Source organism: Homo sapiens, chromosome 18, assembly GCF_000001405.40.
Source record: "Homo sapiens chromosome 18, GRCh38.p14 Primary Assembly".
In the NCBI taxonomy this organism is placed as follows: Eukaryota; Metazoa; Chordata; class Mammalia; order Primates; family Hominidae; genus Homo; species Homo sapiens.
Genome location: NC_000018.10, coordinates 65,817,984 through 65,842,336, shown reverse-complemented (window position 1 = coordinate 65,842,336; position 24,353 = coordinate 65,817,984). Strand labels below are relative to the sequence as shown.

Genomic DNA, 24,353 nt, shown 5'->3' with positions numbered 1-24,353 from the left:
TACTAAAATGCTTATTTAATATCTCTCTTAGCCACTAGATTTGAAGCCCTGATCATTTTGTTCATCACTATTATTCCCAGTACCTAAAATGCTTTTTATACATAGGGGAGTCTCAATAAATTCTTGAGCCTCCTTTTCTTGAATCAACACAACAACAAAAAAATTAGAACACAGATATTCAGTGTACAAGAGGCTGAAAATTGAACTATACATCTGACCCAAAGAATCCTGCTGGTTAAAATGAGAGATAAGGGAAGAAATAACAGTCAAGTATATTGTTTTTCTTGAGCACAGAAACACTTTCTAGAATTGCTGCAGAACAAAAAAGTTTTAATTTTTATCTCAGGTTTTACATAAAAATGTTGGGACACATAGAAAATACTGCCATGACAACATTGTATTAACAAACTCAGTAATATTTTTATGAGGCTAACATTTTTTGTTTGTTTATTATCTAAGAGTCGGTCTTGTCCAACGGTGGTCAAAAAAAGGTGAGAATGAGAACCCACCAGAGACCCTTCTAAAATATGTGTGGCCCCTTCCAATGGATTCTGATTCAGCAGGTGCAGGACGAGGTACAGGCAGATATATTTTTAGAAGGCTCGTCAAGTGATTCTGAAGCAAATCCTCTCTTAAGAAACCTGACCTACTCATAAAATTTTCTTGGGCCTATCTATAAATTCCAACCTTTATGTTGGGGACACTTGAAGCATTCTCATTTACCTAAAAGCATCTACTGAGAAACCAAAACATACTCGCAGTTTAGATAATAACCTCAGTTTGTTCTTATATTCTTTATAAAAATTACTAACTATAAGAGAAATCTTATTTTCAAATATGATGTGTCTATATGTAAAAGAATATACTTAGAAATCCGATTTGTCAGCTCCTTTCAAATCAATGCAAAACCACAACCTTTAAGTTATTTATTCAGGTTTTCACATTAGCAAAAGGCATACCAAGTATTTCTGTATTCAAGTAAAAGTTTGTCTCCCTTATGAAAGAATAATTTAAAATGTACTGCAGAAATGAATGCAATTTTTTACAGCAACTTGTTTTTTTAAATGTATCTAAAAGGAGCAACATGAGGTATAGACATCTGGATGCTAAAAAGTCATGAAAAAACACACTATTATGCATGATGATTGGTTGCCTAAAAGCTATTATGAAAATAAAGCAATAAAAGAATTCATATGAAAGTCTATGAATCAAGATTACAGACAAAAGGAATTGCTTCACAAAATTATTTTCAGAGTATATCAAAATATGCCAGGATCTAGTTTTCAAAGATGTGATAAGACTGTTAAGCATTTGAATAAAAAAATTAAATTTTTACAGTAAAATTTACTTTTTATATGACTTCTCATTGTTGATTTCTAGATATGTAATATAGTCCATAACTATTAGAATTAATTACTAAGATTATACTTGAAAAATAACAATTAAGAAAAGACACCAAATAAGGAAATAGAAAAAAATAAAAGTAATTTCTAAATAAATTATCTCGATGTTTGGAAGTACATTGTACTAGTTCGTTTTCTCACTGCTGATAAAGACATACCCAAGATTGGGCAATTTACAAAAGAAAGAGGTTTAATGGACTCACAGTTCCACGTGGCTGGGGAGGTCTCACAACCATGACAGAAGGTGAAAGGCACATCTCACGTGGTGGCAGACAAGAGAAGAGCTTGTGCAGTGAAACTCCCCCTTATAAAACCATCAGATCTCATGAGACATATTCACTACCACAAGAGCAGTATGGGGGGAAACCACCTCCATGATTCAATTATCTCCCACTGGTTCCTTCCCACAACACATGGAAATCATGGGAGCTACAATTCAAGATGAGATTTGGGTGGGGACACAGCCAAACATATCATACATATAAGTGCATACTTACATAATTGGAAATTTAACCAGGGTTAAAAAAAAAAGCGCTGCTTCTCTTTTAGCATCTCTAGGGTTCCCAGAATGACTCTGTGGCTTCACCACTTCAAGTCTGGAATCAAATAGGGGACATACAGACTAGCAGATACTTTTTCATACATCAAGTGACATCTGTGTTAGAGACACTAAAAGAGAGAAGCAGCTTTTTTGGTGTATTAGTTTCCAAAGTACAAAAATAGTCTTTAAATTTATTGTCATCAAGGATAATTAAATTAGGATTAAATAAAAAGAATTCTGTGTAAAGCAAGGGTCTGCAAACATTTTTGTGAAGTATAAATATTAGTGACTATTAGACTTGGCAGGGAGTACATTCTCTGCCACATGAAAATGAATAAATATGATTGTTTGCAAATAATAATTTTTGATAGGTAACCCAGATTTTAAATTCTGTATGGTTTTCATGTATCATAACACATTTTTCTTGTTTTGAGTTTTTCCAATCATTTAAAAATGTAAAACCATCTTTACCTCAAGGGCCAGGCTAAAACAGGCAGGCAGTTGTTTGCCAATCTCTGATCTAAGGAGCCCAATATGGTAAGGCTAACATTCATGGCCTTCAGTGATCAGCATCCAGCACACTTTTTCTCTTCTAGTATATATCACCTGCTGCTCCTTCTTTCTCAGATGATTCAAAAATTGCATTTCTTTCTCACACAACTTTATCATTCCTCTCAGAGAAATCTTCTAGAGACTATCACCTTCTTAATAAGCATTTCCATAAACGCCTTACCCATGTAATAAAACTTTTTTACATTAAGAGCTAACTACAAAGAGTTGTACACACATATCTTTAACATGCATTTTAAAAAATGTAAGATTAGTGTTTCTTTTGCATTTTATATTTGTGTCCGCCCCCCAACCACCACAAAAATTCATATGTTCAAATCCTAACCCCCAAGGTGATGCCATTAGGAGGTGGGACCTGTGGGATTTAATTAGCTTTTGAGTGTGGATCCCTCATGAGTGGTATTAGTGGGCCCTTATAAATGAGACCTCAGAGAGCTCCCTCACCCCTTCTGCCATGAGAGGACACAGGATATGGCTGTGTATGAACCAGAAAGAGGGCCCTCGTCAGATGCCAAATCTTGACTTTGGACTTCTCAGCCTCCACAGCTGTGAGAAATAAATATTGGCTGTTTAAACATCCAGCATATATTTCTGTTATAGTAGCCCAAACGGACTAAGACAATATTATTAATACATGTGAAAACTAAATAGCAAAGAGTTCTAGTAAAAGTCCAAAAAGCCCATGTTTAAAGAGCACAGATACTACATGAACTCATGGTCATATATATCCATCAACTGTATGATGTTATCACGTATAAGCCCTTGCTGACCTCATCAACCTCATGAGGTTTTTGTAAATTATTGAGAAATAAATAGCACCTAGAACAGTGACTGACACAAAATAATCACTGTATAAATACTTGCTGTATTACTATTATGCTGTTATTAGAAGCATTATTTCCTGCTAGATTATAAGCAAATGGAAAGTAAAGAGTACGTGTTTCTCATCTTTGTTCTGCTCTGGCACCTAGGTTGTTGTCTTTGGCAAATTCTATTGTTGGATTAAAAAATATGACTATAACGAATAGTGGAGTCTCAAAATTTCCCTTGCCATTTGTAGCCTTTTCAATATTAAAACAAGTTAATTACTGAATTCATTTAATAAAATCATTGCACTTCATTTTTCTTCATTAATATAGCTTTGCTTCTGGTTTATAGCCAAATACATACTCGTTAAGTTCAATGACCTCCTTATATATCTCGCACCTTTAGCCAACAATGTTGTTAATGTTTCAGGAATTGATCCAAGTTAAATTCTTCTAAATTTCTCCATTCTGTTCTCTTTAATGGTAGCATGACACTATCAGGGCTGGATAGTGTATGTGTATATGTGCATGTCTATATACTTAATGTCTTACGTTTAATTTTGATTTTGTTCAAAAGTTCTATGACTGTCTTCATTAAGAGTATTTCTTTCTCTGGAGATTCTAGCTGTTTTTCAAATGAAAGTATATTTTGTAGCTTTCAATATCTGTAGCTTTTCCCTACTTCTTGAACAAATAAATGTAAATCTTTTTTCCTAAGTAAATGGGCTTGAGTGAGACCATACCTATGGGAAAATAACCCTCATTTATAACTTTTCCCTTACAATAATTTTATGTTAGGTCGGGCATGGTGGCTTATGCCTGTAATTCCAGCACTTTGGGAGGCCAAAGCAGGCAGATCATGTCAGGAGTTCAAGACCAGCCTGGTCAACATGGTGAAATCCCATCTCTACTAAAAATACAAAAGTTAGCCTGCCATGGTGGCACGTGCCTGTAATCCCAGCTACTGGAGAGGCTGAGGCAGGAGAATTGCTTGAACGCAGCAGGCAGAGGTTGCAGTGAGCCGAGATTGTACCACTGCACTCCAGCCCGGGCGACAGAGCAAGACATCGTCTCAAAAAAAAAAAAAAAAAATTACTCTAAATCTCTAAATAAACATACTACCCAGAACCTTAAACCTGATCTACAACCTTGGATGAGGTTTAAAAGCAGGAATAATTCTGTACATTTAAATATAATGACTCCCCAAGAACTTTCCAAAGCAAAATACATCCCCTTTATTATGAACAACTGCATTCTGTCGTTTCTATTTTCTTATTTCCCTGGGTTATGACCAAGAAGGCCTTATGTTTCTTTTAGCTTGAGTAAATTTAAACAGGTTTCTTTCTAATTTTAGGCCCCTGACCTCTCTTTAGAAAATTCGTCATTGTAAATCTTTTTTCTGCCCTTTTAATATGTAAATCTTTTAAAAATCCTCTTGACACTTTTATTACCAAGGAATGTCTTCCTCAAGGGCCCCAAAGCCATCTCTATGAAATTTTACCATCAAGGAAGACAGAACCAATACCTCCCAGTTTCTGTAGAAGGATAAGAGCCTAACTTCAGCAGGAGCCTTTTTCCAGGTTGTAAAACTATCCCCTGTCATGATGATACAAGAACATTTACTTTCCTATTGGTTAAAGCCAATCATCAAACACAACTGGCCTATGATCCCCACCCTCCATCCTAGCTCATAAAAACTCTGCAGCCCTTTGCTTTAGCCAAGGTGAGTTTGGACTGAGTCTCGTTTCTCTCTCCTATTGCAACAGCCTTGAATAAAATCTTCCTTACCTGTTAAACTGTCCTGTGCAATTTTTGCTTTCACAGCAGCAAGTGATCTTAGTAGGTAGATGAGGGCTCTATTTTGAAATTTTTGTGACTCATGAATTTTAGCAAGAAATTATATTTTCTACAGAAGAAGGTGAGAGAAAGATAATATATAAACAATAAATACTATGTTCTACCTAGGTGCACACTGTTGATGCATTCATAGAGGTCTATGGGTTATGGGGGGAGAAGAGCTCTGGAGGTCTTGCCAGCTCTGTGTATTCTCTGCAGCCAGACTGATACTTTCTTATCTTTCTAACTGTACTAGACTTGAGATTCTTATAAAAAGATCCTAACTTTATTAATCTTACAAATCTGCAATAGATATGATTATTTTTGAATAAAATAGAGATTTACTGATTTACAAAGAAAAAATATCTAAGGCTAAACAAATTACCTGAAAAACAGTAAAATAAGTGTAAGCAAATTTAGAATAAGCAAAAGAGATTACTGGTTGTCTCCAGGTCCATTTTATACTTTTATGACAGTCATTATTATTATTATTATTTTAATTATACTTGAACACAGATATTAGGACAGAACATGAACAAACATTTGCAGCTTGCAAATGGATTATTACCAGTAGATAGAAAGTGCCAGTGCTCCAAAGGTAGGTTGAAACAAAATACAATGAATAATTGCAGAAATGATTGCAGTCTAAAACCATAAATTATACAAAGATATGATCAGGAATACAATAATGATATACATATCAGGAGATATTATTTTCATCATCTAGTAACACAAGTTAATATTGAGGAATATTATCATCAAAGTAACCACAGCCATCACGTATTATTTTAAACTTAGCACAGTTTAAAATAGGCTCTGCCTATCCAGATTCTTATTCATACTTAGTTAACGAGTGTCTTCCTTTCTCTCTTCTGTTCTCCTGTCTGGATCAGCTTTCGCCCCCATAGAAATGTTCCATTTTGACTTCTGCATTAATTAATTTCATACTGCTACAGTAACAAATTACCAAAATCTTAGTGGCTTAAAAAAGAAATTTGTTGCTTTATAGTTTTGGAGGTCAGAAGTCTAAAATCAAGGTGTTGGCAGAGCTTCATTCTTTCTGGAGGCTTCGGGGAAGAATTGTTCCAGTGTCCAAAAGCTGCATGTATTCTTGGCTCATAGCCTCCTCCTCCATCTTCAAAGTGCATCACTCCAAGCTTGGGTTCCGTTACTGTATCTCTTTTTTATAACACTGACTCATCCTTCTTTCCTCTTTAAGGAGCCTTGTGATTATACTGCACCCAATTATGTGATCCAGGATAATGTTCCCATTAAGCTCCGTAACTTAATCACGTTTCCAAAATTCACTTTACCACATAAGGTAAAACGTTCACATATTCTGTGAATATCTTTTTGAGGAGGAGGCATTATTGTGTCTACCACAGCCTCCTACTCTGAACTTAGGTAGTCTGTTTTGATTTTATAAGCATAAAGTAGAAAACAAGCCTTGGAAAGGACTGCATTTCTGCCCAGCATCTAAAACCTGGTTTACCTTACAGCTCAGGCCAATTCCCTTACTACGCTGAGGTCAACATTTTCCAGCATGCACTATAGCTGTACCCAATAACTTCTAGAGGGTTTCATACATTGTCTGGGAAGCAGAATCCACATTATGACCTGAAGACAACTTAGCATATGTTTTCCTGGAACGCTTCATCAAACAGTGGCAAATCTTAACTGACCTTGATCAATAAAATGATTTTATGAGATAGGCTAATAGAGGAGAAAGGATGATGAGGGAAGTGGGCAGAACTGAGATTCAGTATTTCCTTGGCCATTTCATGAAGTATAACCTGAAGGTTAGTTAGTCTCTCTGGAGCAGCGCTGGAACTCAACATATTTTTCCCACTTTCCCTGTGTCCACAATACTTTATTGCTTCTTTCTTCTCAGGGATGCTTTTTTCCCTTCACTACCTGAATCTAGGTTGTCCTGTGTCTTGCTTGGGTCAATACAATGTGGCAGAAATGATGACATGTCAATTCTGTCAAACAGCCTCAAAAGACCATACAACCTCTGTTCTTACCATTCTTGGAACCAGCCCAGGTAGCCCATGGGATGATGGGAGGCAGAGGTCCAGGCCCCTTGTTTTCCAGGCAGACAGCCAGCCACCTCCATAGAGGCAGAGCCACCATGCTGACCAATAGCTGATGCATGTGTGAGCCCACTTAAGATCAGCATAAAAATATCCTACTGAGCCCAGGCCAAATTACTGACCCACAAAATCATGAGCTAAGGAAATTAAAGCACCAGGTTTGGGGATGATTTATTAAGAAATAAGGTAGTTGATACAACCACAGATAGAAAGAGAATGAGAGTTGGTGACCAGTTTTTGTCAGGTGATGGCAGCATATCCAGATAAAATGAACCAAAATAAACTTGAAATGGCCAAATTAAACAGTCGGGAAGAAGTCAGATCTCGACATGGGAATTTCTTTGAACTCAGCAAGAGCTCCAGTTCCTTGACTATTCTAATCTTTGCCTTATCTGTTATGTCCCATCATTACTACGTATCATAGATGTCAGGATCCATCAATTCTCTCTTCTATTGATAACATATGCAATTTCTTCTATTCATCTAAATATAAAACTTTGTTTGTTAGTCTTTTTGATAAGTTATTTTTAACCCGTCTTAAAATATCTTAATTCTGGAAGAATAAAACAGTTTGCCTTCTCTGAGTCTTTCTTTGCCATGCTAACTTAAATTGTTCAGTTTCACCAAGAAATGTCTAAAGCCTTCTTTTCATCATTTCATTTGTGCCCTCCATGGATGTTATCAATGGTCTCTTTGATTGCCATGCATGTGCATATAACTCCTAGACATAAGAATGTACTATAGAGCTTTTCCTTGAACTACAGACCTATATTCATGACTTCTTAGACATATTTACCTTGCTATTACAGTGCACCAAACATCACTTGTTCCAAGCCATCCTACACATCTCCATTCCATTCTCAAAGAACAATGCAAGTATTCAGCTAGTTACACAAACTAGAAATACTGGCTATGTCTTTAAATTCTCCTTTTAACCTTCCTTATACAATTATTAAATTCTCTCCTATCTATTTCTTAAATATCTCTTTCTTGGAATCCTACCCACCGAAATTGACCTAGGAATCAACACGCCGTGGGAGGGCAGGGGGGAAAGGAAGGACAATTTTACATGATCTGTGACTTGTACTCAGCAAAATAAATTCCATAATGGACTCACTGGAAAACATCTTTGATATACACATATTCTGAGAATACTGCTATAATCACTATCAAAATTTTAAAAAATCAAACAGAAGCTGAAATACTCTTAAGTGAACAAAATCAACAAAAGCTGAAATAATCCTAAGTGAACAAAGTCAGTGCCTTTTGATCAGGTCAAACATGTCGACATGTAAATTAGTATCATTTTCTTCAAAGAATGTTAATTTCTTATCTTTTTATAAAACTCTATGTTCATCTCTACTCTTGACTACTCAAGCACAGGTAAATTTATACCTTAATAAGCAGATAATAAGCCTATATACACAAACACATACACATAATGATTAAAGTATGCTAGTATATACTTATATACATAGTAACAATGATTGAATTAAGTGGAAAATATAATCTGAAGTTCAGAAGCTCACCAAATTATCTCGGCCCTTAAAACTAAAATAATCCAAAATTTATGCCTTTTTACAGTCAAATGAGAGCAATGTCATTGCTCAATTTTAAGAAATATGCATCCTGAGCAGCAGGATTAATTGAATAAAATGTTTGAAAGAAAACAATTAATGAGAGGAAGAAAAATAAATTGGCATTAACCTTGGTTTGATTCTCTCTCACCACATATCAGCAACATTTATGAAATACTAAATGAAATACATATTTGATTGTAGAAATTAGACCTCAATATTACAAGTAATAGGCAAAAGACACATTTCAGTACAAGACAGTAAACCCCAGGTAGTCCACATCTGTGCAGCTTGAGTTGAAGGCTGGAAGGCCACTGTGCTATCTAACTTAGGGCAGTGAATGGCAGGTAGACAGCATTATTAACACCTCCACATAATGCTGTATTATTTTGACTTCATTCAGCCTTTCATAGGGTATGGATATGAGCATATTTTGAATCTAGCACAGCAAAATTAGCCTTTAAAAGCCTAAATGTCTTCATAGTGTGACAAAGTGGACCACCAAATAAATCACATGTCAGATACCGGATGCATAGTTATCTTTCATAGGGAATTAATTTTGAAAATGCTCATTTTTTTTACTCTATAGTAACTCCATAGTAATGCATTTTATAGAAAAAAATTCCATATTTAATCACAACTGAAGACTTATATTGAAAACTGAGGTACATTAGAGGAAAGACTTCCATATATTAAAGAAAAAAATTAAAAAAGACTAAAGTGCCTAATTTTAAGTTATGATAGCAAATGTAAAAAGAAAGAATTCTAGGTGAAACAAAAACTATATTCACTCAAATGTGATAATCTTTATGTTTACTCTTTGTAAATTTTGAAATCCTATTTAACTGGTTATAAAGGTTATCATAGAAACATTCATAAATGGTCAAGGAATAGCATTTGCATTGCTTTAACTGTTTAAGATGAAAATTTCATCATCATTTTTATATTTAAACTATATAATCAGGTTTATTCTTAAAGTATAAGAGTGATTAAATCATAAAAACTCTATGCCATTATTTACAGCAATCTTTAGCCTTGTGGATTCTGCATATTTTGTCATATTAATAAACATTTTCTGTATAAGATATTGGAACAGTAATAGAATAACCAACAGCATTTTTTCATTTTCTCTATTTATTCTTTTTTCAAATATATATTTTAAAAAGGATTTTTTTCTGCTTTTCTCTTCCTGATTCTAAAAGAATTCTATGCCAAGTATAATACATTCAAATGTAGCAAAATACAATGATAATTTTCACAAACTGGAATACATCTTATTATACATATAATATAATAGTACATTATTTATGAAAAGGATATGGACCAAAGTTTTATTATAGTATAGAGAGAAAATAAATTCAGATGATTATCAAGCACAGTCCGCAGGTAGAAAATAATCTCATTACAATAGAAATGACTCTATCCAGATGGACATTAAAGCTTTATTGTCCAAATGTGAAGTAATATGTAGACATTCAGAACCACCAGAACAAATACATTTATGACTTTAACAAAAATCTTGTCAACATCTGAGCAATGTCTGGTTGTAAATGTTTTCTTATGCGGAGAAGGGACTGGGAGACCAACCAAAAAACTGTTCGTTTTGGTGGACTGTCCATAGCATTCCATTGTTTATCTCGGTATAATTTTTAAAATACTCTGGGGTAATAAAAGGAGGCCAAATTTATCTTTTTTTTTTTTCTTCAGAATTTCTGGCTTTTAGTCTTCCAACTCGGATTCAAAAATCCATTCTAAATTTCACAGACAATGCCACTACTTTCTGGTAGGGAAAGAATATGGAAATTAGGGGACTCATTTATTGTTCTGCAGATTCCTGTTGCTGTGAAAGCTCCCTGGAAAAGTTTTATCTAGGGTATAATGTAGGCTCCATGTTTATTGAAATCTTGGTAAGTAGAACTGAAAATCAAAATCCTGTTTTGTTAGGGCCACAAACAGTAAACTGTTAGTTCAGACTGAGGAAATCTTAAGAACAAGACTTCCTTGATTCTGGGAAAACAACTCCAAATAAACTCTAGTTACAAAATGGTAAGCAAATATTTTCTTCTGAAATTGAGTATAGAGATACTTTTGACCTCATGATGGAAAGACACTTGGATTTGGCGGTAAAGCCTGCCTTTGTTGGGCCAGCAGATCGCGTTCTTTTAAGATGGAAGGTTTCAGGGATGTGAATGAGAGTGATGGATATTCCTTACATAGGTACTCACAGGTTGCTCTTCCATGGTTAGATTAAGCCCAGAAACTCACACCAATGTTCTCATGAAGTACATATAGGGAAAGTATTGATTTTTAACTTGTTTTGTAGCTCTCATTAATGAAAGTTCTCATTAATTTGACAAAATTGTAATAAATTATTTTATAATTTCTAAGTATATAATATCATCATTCTATCATAATTATTTCACTGCTTCCTTTGAATTGCTGGTATTATTCTGTCTTATTCCCTGAGTGTAAGGTAGATTCTTTTAAGACTAGCTGGAATAATAAAAATATATAGTTTTGAGTTTTAAACAGCAATTTTTTAAAAAGATGTATTTAAAAATGAAGAAGCTAGACGCAGGCTATGAGCTAGGTGTGGGGGACATAAAAATAACTTAGAGGTGAAGCAACGATCACTAAGCTTAGGATAATGTCAAAGGGAAAATAAACAGCCAAGAGCTATCATGACAGGAAGAGGCAAGGAAAAAAACTTAAAATGACCTCAAGGCTAAGAAAGAATAAGAAAAGAGAGAGAGAAAAGAAAGAGGAAGAAAGAAAGAAAGAAAGAGAGAGAGAGAAAGAAGAAAAAGAAAGAAAGAGAAGGAAAAGAAAGGAAAGGAAAGGAAGAGAGAGAGAGAAAGACAGGAAAGAAGGAAGGGAAGGGGAAGCGAAGGGAAGGGAAGGAAAGGGAAGGGGGGAGGGAAGGAGAGAGGGAAGGAAGGAGAGAGAGAGGAAGGAAAGAAGGAAGGAAGGGAGGAAGAAAGGAAGGAAGGGAGGAAGGAAATGTATTTATAACCAGGAAAGTAATAACAATTTGAATAAATATTGATATTCATTGTAATACAGTCCTTTGAAAAGAAGTGAAAGACTTGAAATGAATTAAAGTTATCACAGGCACTTCCATGAATAAGTGTTCAAGAGAAATAAGCAAATATTTTAATTTTCTACTCATATTTTATTGAGCTGCACCTAAAATGCCTTACAATATGTATTATGTGTAATCCACTCTATTTGCAAAGCACTGTACATATATATTCCTATTTACCAACAGCAGTTTTGTGAAGGAGCATTAAGAGCCCTCTCATTTACATTACCTCATCTGTTGCCCACATTCCCTTCCTCATTATCCTCCAAAGAAATTGCCCCGGTTCTTTCTGTATTTAGCAGGTTATCTCATAAGTGAAGTCTCTGCACAGGTGATTACCTCTGTGCCACTTTCTCTTGTCTACCTGAGAAAAACATTGTTATGAATCCACTATTCAACTTCTTCCCCAGGGCATGTTCAAATCTTTGAAAGCCCTGGTAGGACTGACCAGTTGGCTGACAGATGGGGCCTGAGCTCTCCTGGACACTTCTACAGAGCCTTGGATATTTATTCAATCCTTGTGGCCACAGCTAAGTCTATGAAAAAAATCAGAATATTTATGGAACTGGGACATCTACATTCCATGATTAGACCAGTTCCCATGATTGAATACACACACACACACACACACACACACACACACACACACACACTCCCTTCCTTGAAAAAAAATGCATCTTGCTGGTACAGGCGCTGTGCTTCTTCTGTTTATTGTTTAAAGGAAAAATAGGAGGGATTTTTTAGACTCAAAAGATGAGTATGGTAAGGGGGCACGAAAGCAGAGTGCAGGGGAGTCAACAGGCAGGGGGAGGTTTGAAGAACTGGAAAAAACTTTACGTTGCTCTCCAGGAATTACAAGTAGTTTAGTGACTGCTCTAGATTGTTGAGTGAAACTGAGGAACAGTGAAATACATATCTGGCAAATATGAGTCTGAAGCACCACAAGTTTTTTTTTTTTTTTTAATTTTACCTATTTCAAACAGCAACGTTTCAGATATCTCATCTTAATACACATGTATCCTATCCTGATGAGTTAATGATCATAAAAATTTTACAGACCAGGCGGGCGGATCACAAGTTCAGGAGATCGAGACCATCCTGGCTAACACGGTGAAACCCCGTCTCTACTAAAAATACAAAAATTAGCCAGGAGTAGTGGCGGGCGCCTGTGGTCCCAGCTGCTCAGGAGGATGAGGCAGGAGAATGGCGTGAACCCGGGAGGCGGAGCTTGCAGTGAGCCCAGATGACACCACTGCACTCCAGCCTGGGCGACAAAGCGAGACCCCATCTCAAAACAAAACAAAACAAAACAAAAATGACAGACCATACTGCTTAGGTTTATGCCTTCTGTTGCTATACATTATTTCACTTTTAGAATCTAATGGTTCTGTCTCAGAATGGTAAATATATTCTCCACATTAAGATAAAACTTAAAAATCAGATCTATTTTGCACATTAGAAAACTGAAAGCAAATTTAAGAGATCTCAATTCTAGGCATCCAATAGTTCTTTGAAGTTCATAGAAAGAGTTAGAATATGAACAATGTTTGAGGATAACAGGACAAACCCTGGATTATTCTGGAACCAAGTACAGGGTAAGAGGCAGAGAAGCTACACATAAACTGTGAATTACATATTTCAATGAATTAATAAAATAATTGCTGAGAATAAGAAAATTATGAATTAATGGTAAATTTTCATCTAAAAATGAGATGAATATACAATTGACCCCTGAAAAACATAGGGGTTAGGAGAACCACCACCGACACAGCCAAAAATCTGTGTATAACTTTGGATCGCTCAAAACTTAACTACTAATATCCTACTGTTGACCAGAAGCCTTACTGATAACACAATTATTCTATTAACACATAAACAGTCTAATATCTTCATATATTTTAGGCATTTAATACATACCAATTTTTTCTCAAAATGTTCAAGATCTCTAGGCTACATAAGTCATCTGTGAGTATTTTCAGATTGTCACAAATTTCCAAAAAGAGTAATATATTTATAGAAAAAAATCCATATATAAGTGGACTCACTCAGTTAAAACTCATGGTTTTTAAGGATCAACTGTGTAACACTATAAGCAATTTTTGCAAGTGAAAAGAAAACCTTCGTAATTAGTAAGCTTAAACTGCAGTAAAACGCAAATGTATCATTTCCACTATTTTTAGTCAACTCTTACATAAATTATTTGTTTATGTTTGTTTATTCCAATACGGATGAGAAAGTAGGATTGTTTGGACACTGGAACATATTAACAGATAATAAAAATTTGTAAAATTTTTAAAAATTAGTTTGGAGGTGGAGGGAGCTTTGGAAATAAAAATTAAGCTCCTGTATACTAGTTAATTTTCCCACTATCTAGTATCTACTCAGAACTACGTGGAGAAGGAGGAGGGTAGGAAGAAAGAAAAAAGTAATGTTTGCTAAGCCTAAAGATTTTTAGCATGAGGAAAACTGAGATTTTGTTTTCATTTATTTCCATGTTGATATTATCTGCACTGTATAAAAGCACCATAGGTATTTTTTAAACATCTTTATCTATTTCAAACAGCAAAATTTCAGATATCTCGTCTTAACACCCATGCATCCTATCATGATGAATTAATGAACATAAAAATTGCAGACCATACTGCTTAGGTTCATGCCATCTGTTGCTATACATCATTTTACTTTTAGAATCTAATGGTTTTGCCTCAATATGGTATATATATTCTCCACATTAAGATAAAATTTAAAAATCAGATCTACTTTGCACATTAGAAAACTGAAAGCAAGTTTGCGCAATCCCCTTTAAGAGTAATAAACTATGACTAACTTCTTAGTCTAAATTATTGTTCATATAAACAGTGTGTTTAGGCTCAAAATGATATGGAAAATCATGTTAGCATTCAACATCTGAACTGTCTACTGGTGTATTTAAAATCCCTGGATTTAACCTAAATGTTATTTTTTTGACCTTTGATAGCTAGATAGTCTGTTTGGTTCTCCATAGTAATTCAGGATGAACAAGAATTCTTTCGTTACATATTAAAATTTACCTTGGCTACTTATGACACAGAAGTAATATTATGAAATTTTTCACCACCATTGATTCTTAAGATTCTCCTGTACATTGTGTGTGCTTAATTTTTCCTAAATAATCTTTGATGTTATATAACAAAACAAAGAATTAGACAAGTATTTATGTATTAGAAGTCATTTAAGAAAATAAAATTTAATTTTAGTTGCTAACAATCTCAACTAAAAATAATGGAGTTTTGACCTCATATTCAGTGAAAAAATTGTTAAAATATTTAGCTAACTTCTCATATAATGATTGATGAATAAATATTTAATAATAACTAATGATTGATTTTTATTAGATTCAAAGCATCATTCAGATTTCTGGGCAGAAGTAAGGAATCTCTGTATCAAAACCAAAAATTCTATTAATCTAAATGTTTAAAAATTTGGAATCATTTTTAATCATAATTTATTAAATAGAATATTACGTTTTTTAATACCTTCAACAATACACAAACTTAAGAACTTCAACAATACACGAAATTTGAACCCACTGAAAACCATCTCTGTGACTTATTTCTGTATTTGTAAAATAATTTTGATCTCTAATAATAGTCAAAGTAGATTATACAGTGTTTTTAATGAGATTTTTTTAATGATATTTATTTCCATTTGGCCTTTGAATAACTCTTTTATATATTTAACAACATTTCAATTATAACAATAACTACTGAATGTTACATATTATTGAAAAAGCAGTGAAGGTAAGATTTAGAAATGATACTATTAACATTTTTAACATTTTTCTTATAATCTGTTATTCTGTATAAATACAATTTTCATAAAATGTGAAAGACTTTGTAAAAGTTTGGATACTGCCTTTTAATAATTTTTGAATAAAAATTTTCCATATTCATTTGCAAAAACAACATCTCCACATTACTACAATGATGGATGAAAATTCCTTAATATGATAATATAAATTATTTACCATTTCTTCCATTGTTCAATATTTTATAATGTTTCTATATTTTCAGGGTCCTAATAATAGCTTCATGAGATTGTTGAGAAAATAAAATAAAGCCTTTAAGTTACTCAAAAAGAAAAGCCTGACAGATATTGATACCTATAAGAATAATAATGATTATTTGTGATGTTTTTCTATTGTTATAAGTTAGAATCAAATTTCTCCTTGCAATTTTTTAATGAGTTTTATGCTTTTAGATGACATAATTTTTAATCTAGGTTTTTTTGTCTCTTTTTCTAGCAATTTTCTAAAATTTCCAGAAATGATATTATAAAATTAGAAAACAAGTTTTACTTTTCCCTTACTAAATCAAATATTTTATATTAAATTTAGAATTTTCAAAGATTCATGCTGCCTTCATTATAATATATAAAATATAGGTATTTGTTCAATAAAAACTTTCAATTTGCATTAAAAATTCTTGAATGTGAACAGATTGATTTCAGATGACTCTTTGAAATCTTTGAGCAGCATTGTACCTTACTGAATTCCTTTTAATTTAGGCAACAAAACAAAACATTTTACCAACAGTTGGCCTACTCTAGTTATTAAAACTTTTATACACAGATTGTCACCAGCTTAGCTAAAACAGCAGCTGTCCACTGGAAATAATTGCAGAAATGTTTTTCTCATTGGCCTGAAATCAAACATATGTTTTCCTATAACAAATAAAATATCACTTTTTTTATTGATATGTGCTAATTATTGAAAAGTATTAATTACAAAGTTATACACTGGATTTTCATACTGACAAAAAATTTCGTATCTTAGGGGTCAAGATATTGATATATTTTTAATGTTTCAAATAGTTGATAAACTAAGACTATGTTTTGAAATAATAGCTTTTGAGTTATTATTTTTGATTAAATATCTGTAAAAAGTCATATCTCTAAATTGAAAAGAGAGTAAAGAGTCCATTTTCTCCCATAACTGTGTTGAGAGCTAATTTAAATATATTATGGAAAATAATCTTTAGTTTGGGCTGTACTGACTTTCTGTCTCTTTCACACTCGCTCTGTAGAAAGTATGATAGGTTTTACAACTTTTCATGCTTTTCTTGTACGAAATATGCAAGTCTTCCAATTACTATAAATTTTAAATGGCAATAATTGGTAATGTAGCAAGTTTTCAACATTTTGGTTTCCACTTGAAATCATATTATTTTCATTTATGGAGAAAATAATAGCATCTGTTGTTTGCATACACAGGCTTTTGGTTGAATTTAGGGTTTCATTAGTGGAATAGTCAAGGCAGAAACATATTCATCTCTCCAAATAGGTCTTTAAAACAGCACATTGCCAGTTTGCTTTATTTTTATAGTGCTATAGATAATGGCTGCGAGTTTCTTAAAGAATAGAATTGATGGGTGTTATTACAAATGTAACTCAAGGTTCCCTAAGAGTCTGACACCAAAAATTAAATGTATAGCTTATCTTACTAAAATTAAAATAGTAATGGTCCCATATGGCCATTCGGTTTGTCTAGTACATTCTCCCATCAAACAGAAAGGACTTCTCAGTAATCTGTGATAAAAGATAAATAAAGAAAACATTACCTTCTGTATAGTAATGATTCCTTCCTGGGTTTCTTTGTCAACAGAAATCTTAAAAATGCCCAAACCATCACCATCCACAATCTTGTACTCCATTTCAGCATTAGCTCCAATATCTGCATCAGCAGCTTTAATTCTGGCCACAACTGAGGCTACAGGTAATGACTCTGGGACGTTATATTGATAAGACCCTGTGAAATTCAAAGCAAGAAATGAACACGTTACACCAAACTAACCAATAAAAATTTAAATATTGGGTTATTTTGGCATCATTGTAGCACAACTTCTTTTTATTTTTTAATAAAATATATGCTAAGGTAATGGAAAACAAAAGATGAGTTTCATAGAGCCTTAAGAGGTATGATGGGAATGATTAGTTAATAATCACTGTGATAGCAGAAATAGATGATGAGGAAAAGCAAGAGAAGAATCTCTAATTCCTGTATTTCTGGCAGTGAGAAATATCCTACACTGAAAAATAAAAATAAATTTAAAGTAATTATAATTGATATACAATTAGTAAATGTAATTCAATATCATAATTACAATAATGTGTAAAATACTAAGAAATAAAAATAGAATAGATTGGCCTTGAAATGGACAAATACAAGCCTAAATCATTTTCATAACTTAATGTTGGAATTTACTTAGCATTTTTACCGAGAGAGTTTCAGAAAACTGGGTAAGAAAACTGGATAAGAAAGGATAAGAATGATTTGTGTGGGTTGTATGTAGAACTGATTTGGGCCACAATGGTCTGGGAGCCTAGACAATATTAGTTGAACTGAAAAAAAAAAAAGTGAAAGAGAAAAAAATAACTTCTAAAATTTTTGGTTTAACTTTTGTAATAACTCCTCTTCACCATCCCTCAAACTAAAGAAAAAGTTTGGGGGCAGATGAAGAAATACATGAACTACATCACTCAGAAATGACGAAACACCGCAGCATGCTATATTCCTTCATTATTTTTTCTCTAATTATTTACTTTTTCCTGCCTCCTGCATCTACTTCTGTTTCCTTTGGTTGTTAAATTGTGGTGCATTTGTCCTGTCTTGTGAAGGGATAAGAAAGGATTCTCTCTGAGAAGAATATAGAAAGGAAAATGTGTCTGTATTATGGAAAGATGTATTAGACTGAGACTTGTTCGCAATTTTCTAGACTTTGTGAATAGTTACTGTTTGTTTTTTAAATGATTATAACATATGCTATTACTTTTGAGTGACCCCTTTCACATATCTCAAAGTGTCCTTCATAAAATTCCAAAATGTCAGGGTTAAACTAGTGATTCAACGGTAGAGAAAAATCCCAGCAAAAATGAATAACAATGGTATATCCCTGGCTTTTTTCACTTTAATAAGTTTGAAGGGATCTATAATGGCCTAGAAAACCTGTATCCTACTAAAATTCTACATAATTTTATCAATCTAGGCTTAAACAAAAGGAAAGCAGTTCATTTCATTATAAGCCCAAGATAATTGCATTATTACATTTTTTAATTCTAAAAGTCCCTCCTTCTCCATGATAAGCCATCAAGATCACAATTAAGAATAGGCTTATTGAAAGAAAATAATGCTAAACCTGGGGTCACTTTTTTATATTACCAGGAGATACCATTTCTTGTATAATAATATAAATATTAAAAATATGTAAGATAAAGAGGAAAATTTTAAAGCAGCAGTCATTGAAGGAAAAAACAGTGACACTTGTATTTGCTCAGAAAGGTTCGTTTTTTGATATGATTCACTTCTAAATTCTGTTGGTAGGGAGTTTAGTTCCCCATTTCTACTGGAAAAGCATTTTAGAGACATTGTACAGACATTATGGTCTGTACAATCTCTTTATTTTCTTGAGTGTTCTAAAGAAATAACACATACACTTAGGGAAAAAAAGGGAACTAAAAAGAGAGTGAGATGAAACGTTTTTTACAAACAGCACACCTCTACCTAGAGAATTTTTTTTTTCTTTTTTCTTGGTTAAGTTAAAAGCCCCTTTGGTCAAATAAGTGGAACTGAGGGCATTTGGTTTTCTAGTTCTTTAGATTGGTTTTTAAAACACTGAATGTTTGCACAAGAAAGACGTGGGGGAACTGCTAAAGGAATGTTCAGTGTGTATAAACTGGCTTTAAAAAGTGTGAAATGATAAAATGAAAACATTTATTACTCTTTTTTAATTTTCAAAAATAAATCAATATTTTAGTGCATAGAATGAATAAAATGTATTTGAATATTATTAATTGGCAACAACTTTATAATTTACAAAATATAAAAAGAGTAATTCTTAGAAAAAAGACTAATACATAAACACAATTAATAATTGTCTAGTATTCAAAATGTGAATGAAAGAAAAATCTTACTATATTTAAGATAGAAGTAATGCAAATATATGATGGCTTCTATTTCTTCTCAATACCCTTATAATCCATATTCCTGAATCAAAATTATGTCTCTAATAAAATGCAAATTTGAGAGAATGAAGTAAGACAATTATTTGCTTTAGAAGTATTTGAAAAAAAGTCATTTTAAAGATGTATTTTATAGACTTTCAGGGAAAGTTATTGCACTTGTGTCACTTAAGAAAACAACTTACTTCGAGGAAAGCGAGGTGGATTATCGTTGACATCAGTTAGGGTCACAGTGACTGATGTAGTTCCTGACAGTCCTCCATTTTGACCAACCATATCCTTTGCCTGAATGACAAGCAAATACTGGTCTTTAGCCTCTCTATCCATGTTTGGAAGGGCAGTCTTGATGACTCCTGTAAAATTTCAAATCCCAGTAAAACTCATCATGAATCACTGCATTTATACTAACAAAGAATACTGATACAAGTAGTAAGTCCCTCTTGAGTTGTTGCCTTTTGTTGTTTTGTTTACTTTAAATAATTTTACTGTGTATTAAAGACCAAAGAAATAGGATAGTTTTACACAATGTTACAAAACAGAGAAAACATTATTAACGTGGTTTTCTCAATACTGAATAAAGAGGATTATCTTTAGGTTTCATGGAAAAGTGGTTAAGGAAATAACAATTTATAAATAAATAAAATGGCCTTTTACCTAGAATAATGGACAGTCACCTGTACAAGTACGCAGCAATGAACTTGTCTTTTTCTTCCATCTCAACAACTTATAAAAATGCATAACCACTTACTATCAGTTTTCAAGTTAAATAATATTCCTACTATCTGTAGCAACAATATTTTTGTTTAAATCTGAGCACACTAGCTCTCAAACACAAACACACACATACATCTGCAACAGATCTATATTTTAGGCATTCAAATTACACTTACTTGAAAAGTCCACGTTGCTTATTTATTTTTTGACATTACTCATTTATTCTAATACACTAAGTGTAGTTGGATGCTATTGTCACGGCAATCCAGGCTCACTTTAAGTAACACCTTCAATGAATCCTTATGTGTGTCTACATATTTTATAATTGATCTTTGAAATATTATAATAAAAATGAAAAAAATATATACAAATTAGGTCCAGGTGGTAAGTATCTAATATATAGATACTCTTCTCAGAGCCATAATGATTTTATGGATTTTTCATGTTTGCTTTTCAATACTTCTATTAACTTAAATTTACAACAAAGCAAATATTGACTTCCCTAATACTGTCACCAAACATAAACAATCTTTGTGTGAGAGTTCTGGGACATATCTCCACCTTTTTCTTTTCTTGTTTTTTTTTTTGTTTGTTTGTTTGTTATTTTTTGCTGTTAATTATCTTTATTTCTGTAACCCCATTTTTAAAAATTGAGCATTGCTTATTTTGAACATGACCAACACATATTTCATTTATATGAAAAAATGTGAACAAAATGAGTTATTTGTAGAAAAGAAGTCCCAATTATTTTTTATATATTTTTTTAAATTTGACTCATCTCTCATTTTTCCTTCTAATATCAGTATGTGTGTTATCATCTGTGCACATTTATTGTGATGGAGAGAAGTCTATAACCCCTCAACTAATCAGTAAAGGAAACACTGCAGCCTCATCCTCTCATGGGTTTGCTTTGTGGATTTTTGAAAGGACATATAGCATCGTTAAGATAGAAGTCTGGTAGTCAAAGTTTCTCACTTATTTTTCACACTTCTAATTGTCTTTTTATAAGTGAGCCTATAAATAACACCTTTCCAAGGCAGAAATCATCACAAAGTTTGCAAATCAATGCAGGTAGGAAAGGTAATCTCCAAATTCCTCAACTATTGAACGTATTTTTGACAAGAATAATATAATTGGGAAAAGTTGACTTGAAAGAAGAACACCCACTAATAATAGATTTCTACTTGTATGGCATTTGCTCACTTTTAAGTAAAAACTGTCTAAATTTGGAAAAGCATTCTCATACATTGGATTTCATTTGTGTTTTGTCATGTATTATATAATTGTGTATATAAATACACACACACAGAGAAAATTGTTAATATCATATGACTGAACTAGTAAAGTCTAGTCTTGACCAATTGGATACCTATAACTCCGTGAGACTTTCATGCTTAATAATAATCAGTAATTGTTTAAGTCACTTAGGCTTAGCAAAAAAAAAATCTATCTATGGGCTCTTTGAAAAAGACACTGGCTCATATTTTAGGCTTTGTGAATAATTTTTCTATAGCTATATCATCTGATACCATAACTCAGAACTTTTCATTTATTTATAATCCATGTTCATAAAAAGCATTGTGCATGTAAAATATAAACTTATATTGCTATTGTTCAAAAGCTGTTTTTAAGTATAGGAAAAAAATCTGATGATCTAATGTCCTATCAGCCTCAGATGATTTTTTTAAAGCATATTCTGCTACTATTGAATCTTCTTAAAAATTTGGTATATGTACCTCATGTAACAGACGATAGCCATTTCTGAAATCTTTCGCACTTTAGGGAAGCAAAGGAACACGGGTTCTGCATATTCAGGCTTCGAATTACCCTCAGGAGCCTAGACAACCACATGAACCCAAGGATTAATAACCAGGGGCTGGGGAGATTCACGCTGTGAGGGCTCAACCCTTTAGGATTGTTCTCACTAAAACTAAATAAACTTTTTTGGATATCACTTTGACTGCACTACCATTCCAAGGGGAATCTCAATATTGCAAAACCAGCTTTCTCAGGGATCCTGTTAACTGAGGAAGTACCTTCTCACAGTAACCAGGATCTGGGTCATCTGCACTTCCAACTCCCAAAGCCCTTCACGATCCTCACTCTCTCCATTACAGCCTTTTTTGTCTGTAGCTATTCTAAGAATTCTAAAACCATACAATGAGACATTAAAGATACTGGTTTCCTTACAGCTTCTATGGACTTAATAATATATATCAAGAGGTAAGTGATACTAAACAGGCAAGCCCACAAATTGGGACTTAGTCCAGGAGGTTCTTGGCTTTGCCCAAGAAAGAATTCAAAGGTAATCCAGTGGTTTTGGACAGCAACTTTTATTAAATGGTACCGCTCTTTGTGGAGCAGTGCGAACTCACAGGCAGCGTGCCCGAACTCTGCAATCTATGGTCTCTTGGCAAATTTATTTATACTTACGTAAACCCAATTTCAATTACATGCAAATCGAGGAGTGGGTCAATGCAGATTGAGGGGTAGATTATTTTGAAATTTCTAGGAAAGAGGGCAGTAACTTCCAGGTCATTGCAACGGAGACAGGTGGTAACTTCCAAGTTGTTGCCATAGTATTTATAAACTGTCATGGCACTGGTGGGAGTGTCTTATGCCAATGAGCAATGAGGGCAGCTAGCGATCTCTTATGTCGACATCTGCTGGTTCCTACCAGTTTTTTCACTTTATCCTGTCTGGACCAGATCCTATTTTGGTCAACAAGGTTGTGACCGGAAAATCAGTCCTGCTGGTCTCTCCTACCTCATAAGGACCATGAATGAACTAAAGCCATTTGGTATGGCCATCACCAAAATGGAGCAGCCAATGAAGAGAGCACTGTTGAAACATGGACAGGAGAATGATGCACCAGCAAAAAAATCATTTAAAATACATGTAGTTTGGCTGTTGGCTTTGCTTTTGTTTTAAAGAACTAATTGGATATCATGTTAGCTCTCTTGGTAACTCCTTTAAAGATAATTATTTCTGTGTGATTATTCCCTAGTGAATGAGAATAATAGATATAACTGGTAATGAACTGAATAGGTATTTATGTAATCAGTTTCTGTCAATATGTATTCTTAGTACTTAAAATATCTCAGTGATACTTGTGACCAATATTAGCTTATTCTGTTTTACATTATATCAATGAGTGTTACGTTACATGATGTTTAGAAATATAGTACATATTCAGGAAGAAAATTCCAATATGATGTTTTGCTATTAAAGACACGATTGAATATTTTAATGCAATATGATCACCTGTTATGTTATAGGTGAGAAGTACTCCCCCATGCACATTCTGACTGGATAACAATGATCACTTTTGTAAACTTATTCTGAGTCCTAACTGCCATCTTCTTTCCCTTGAAGAGCTCCTGTTGGAGCAATTCACCAATTGTAATAAACCCAATTCATTCTGTAACATATTGATAACCATTGAAATTAAAAAAGAAAAAACTCAAAACCTTATAGCATCCAAAGTTAACTAAAAGTAAATTAGAAATGAAATGGAGAATGGGATGTATAGACATTCTTAGGTGTGTGTATCTTTGAGACTTGAATTGCATTGTGAAAATAAATATACCGCATTATATTTTAAAAATACTCTATTATGAGTACAATTTGTAACACAAGACATTGTGAAGTCTTGAGTTACATATTTGTAGAATTTTAGAGATGAATACAGATTGGGTCAAGCAACACTCTTTCCTGCAAATGTAGACACTGATGC

At 33.3% G+C, this 24,353-nt stretch overlaps 1 protein-coding gene across 4 annotated transcripts in view; it reads right to left on the bottom strand.

Annotated features, from left to right (window-relative positions):
• Positions 1 to 24,353, bottom strand: part of CDH7 (cadherin 7) — a 140,086-nt gene that overhangs the window by 48,001 nt on the left and 67,732 nt on the right. For all 4 annotated transcript variants that reach the window (NM_033646.4, NM_001362438.2, NM_004361.5 and 1 more), the window contains exons 5-6: positions 20,089 to 20,256; positions 17,506 to 17,693 (exon numbers count right to left, since the gene is read on the bottom strand). In NM_033646.4, the coding sequence (NP_387450.1) occupies positions 17,506 to 17,693; positions 20,089 to 20,256 (356 nt within the window). The remainder of the gene's footprint in view (positions 1 to 17,505; positions 17,694 to 20,088; positions 20,257 to 24,353) is intronic.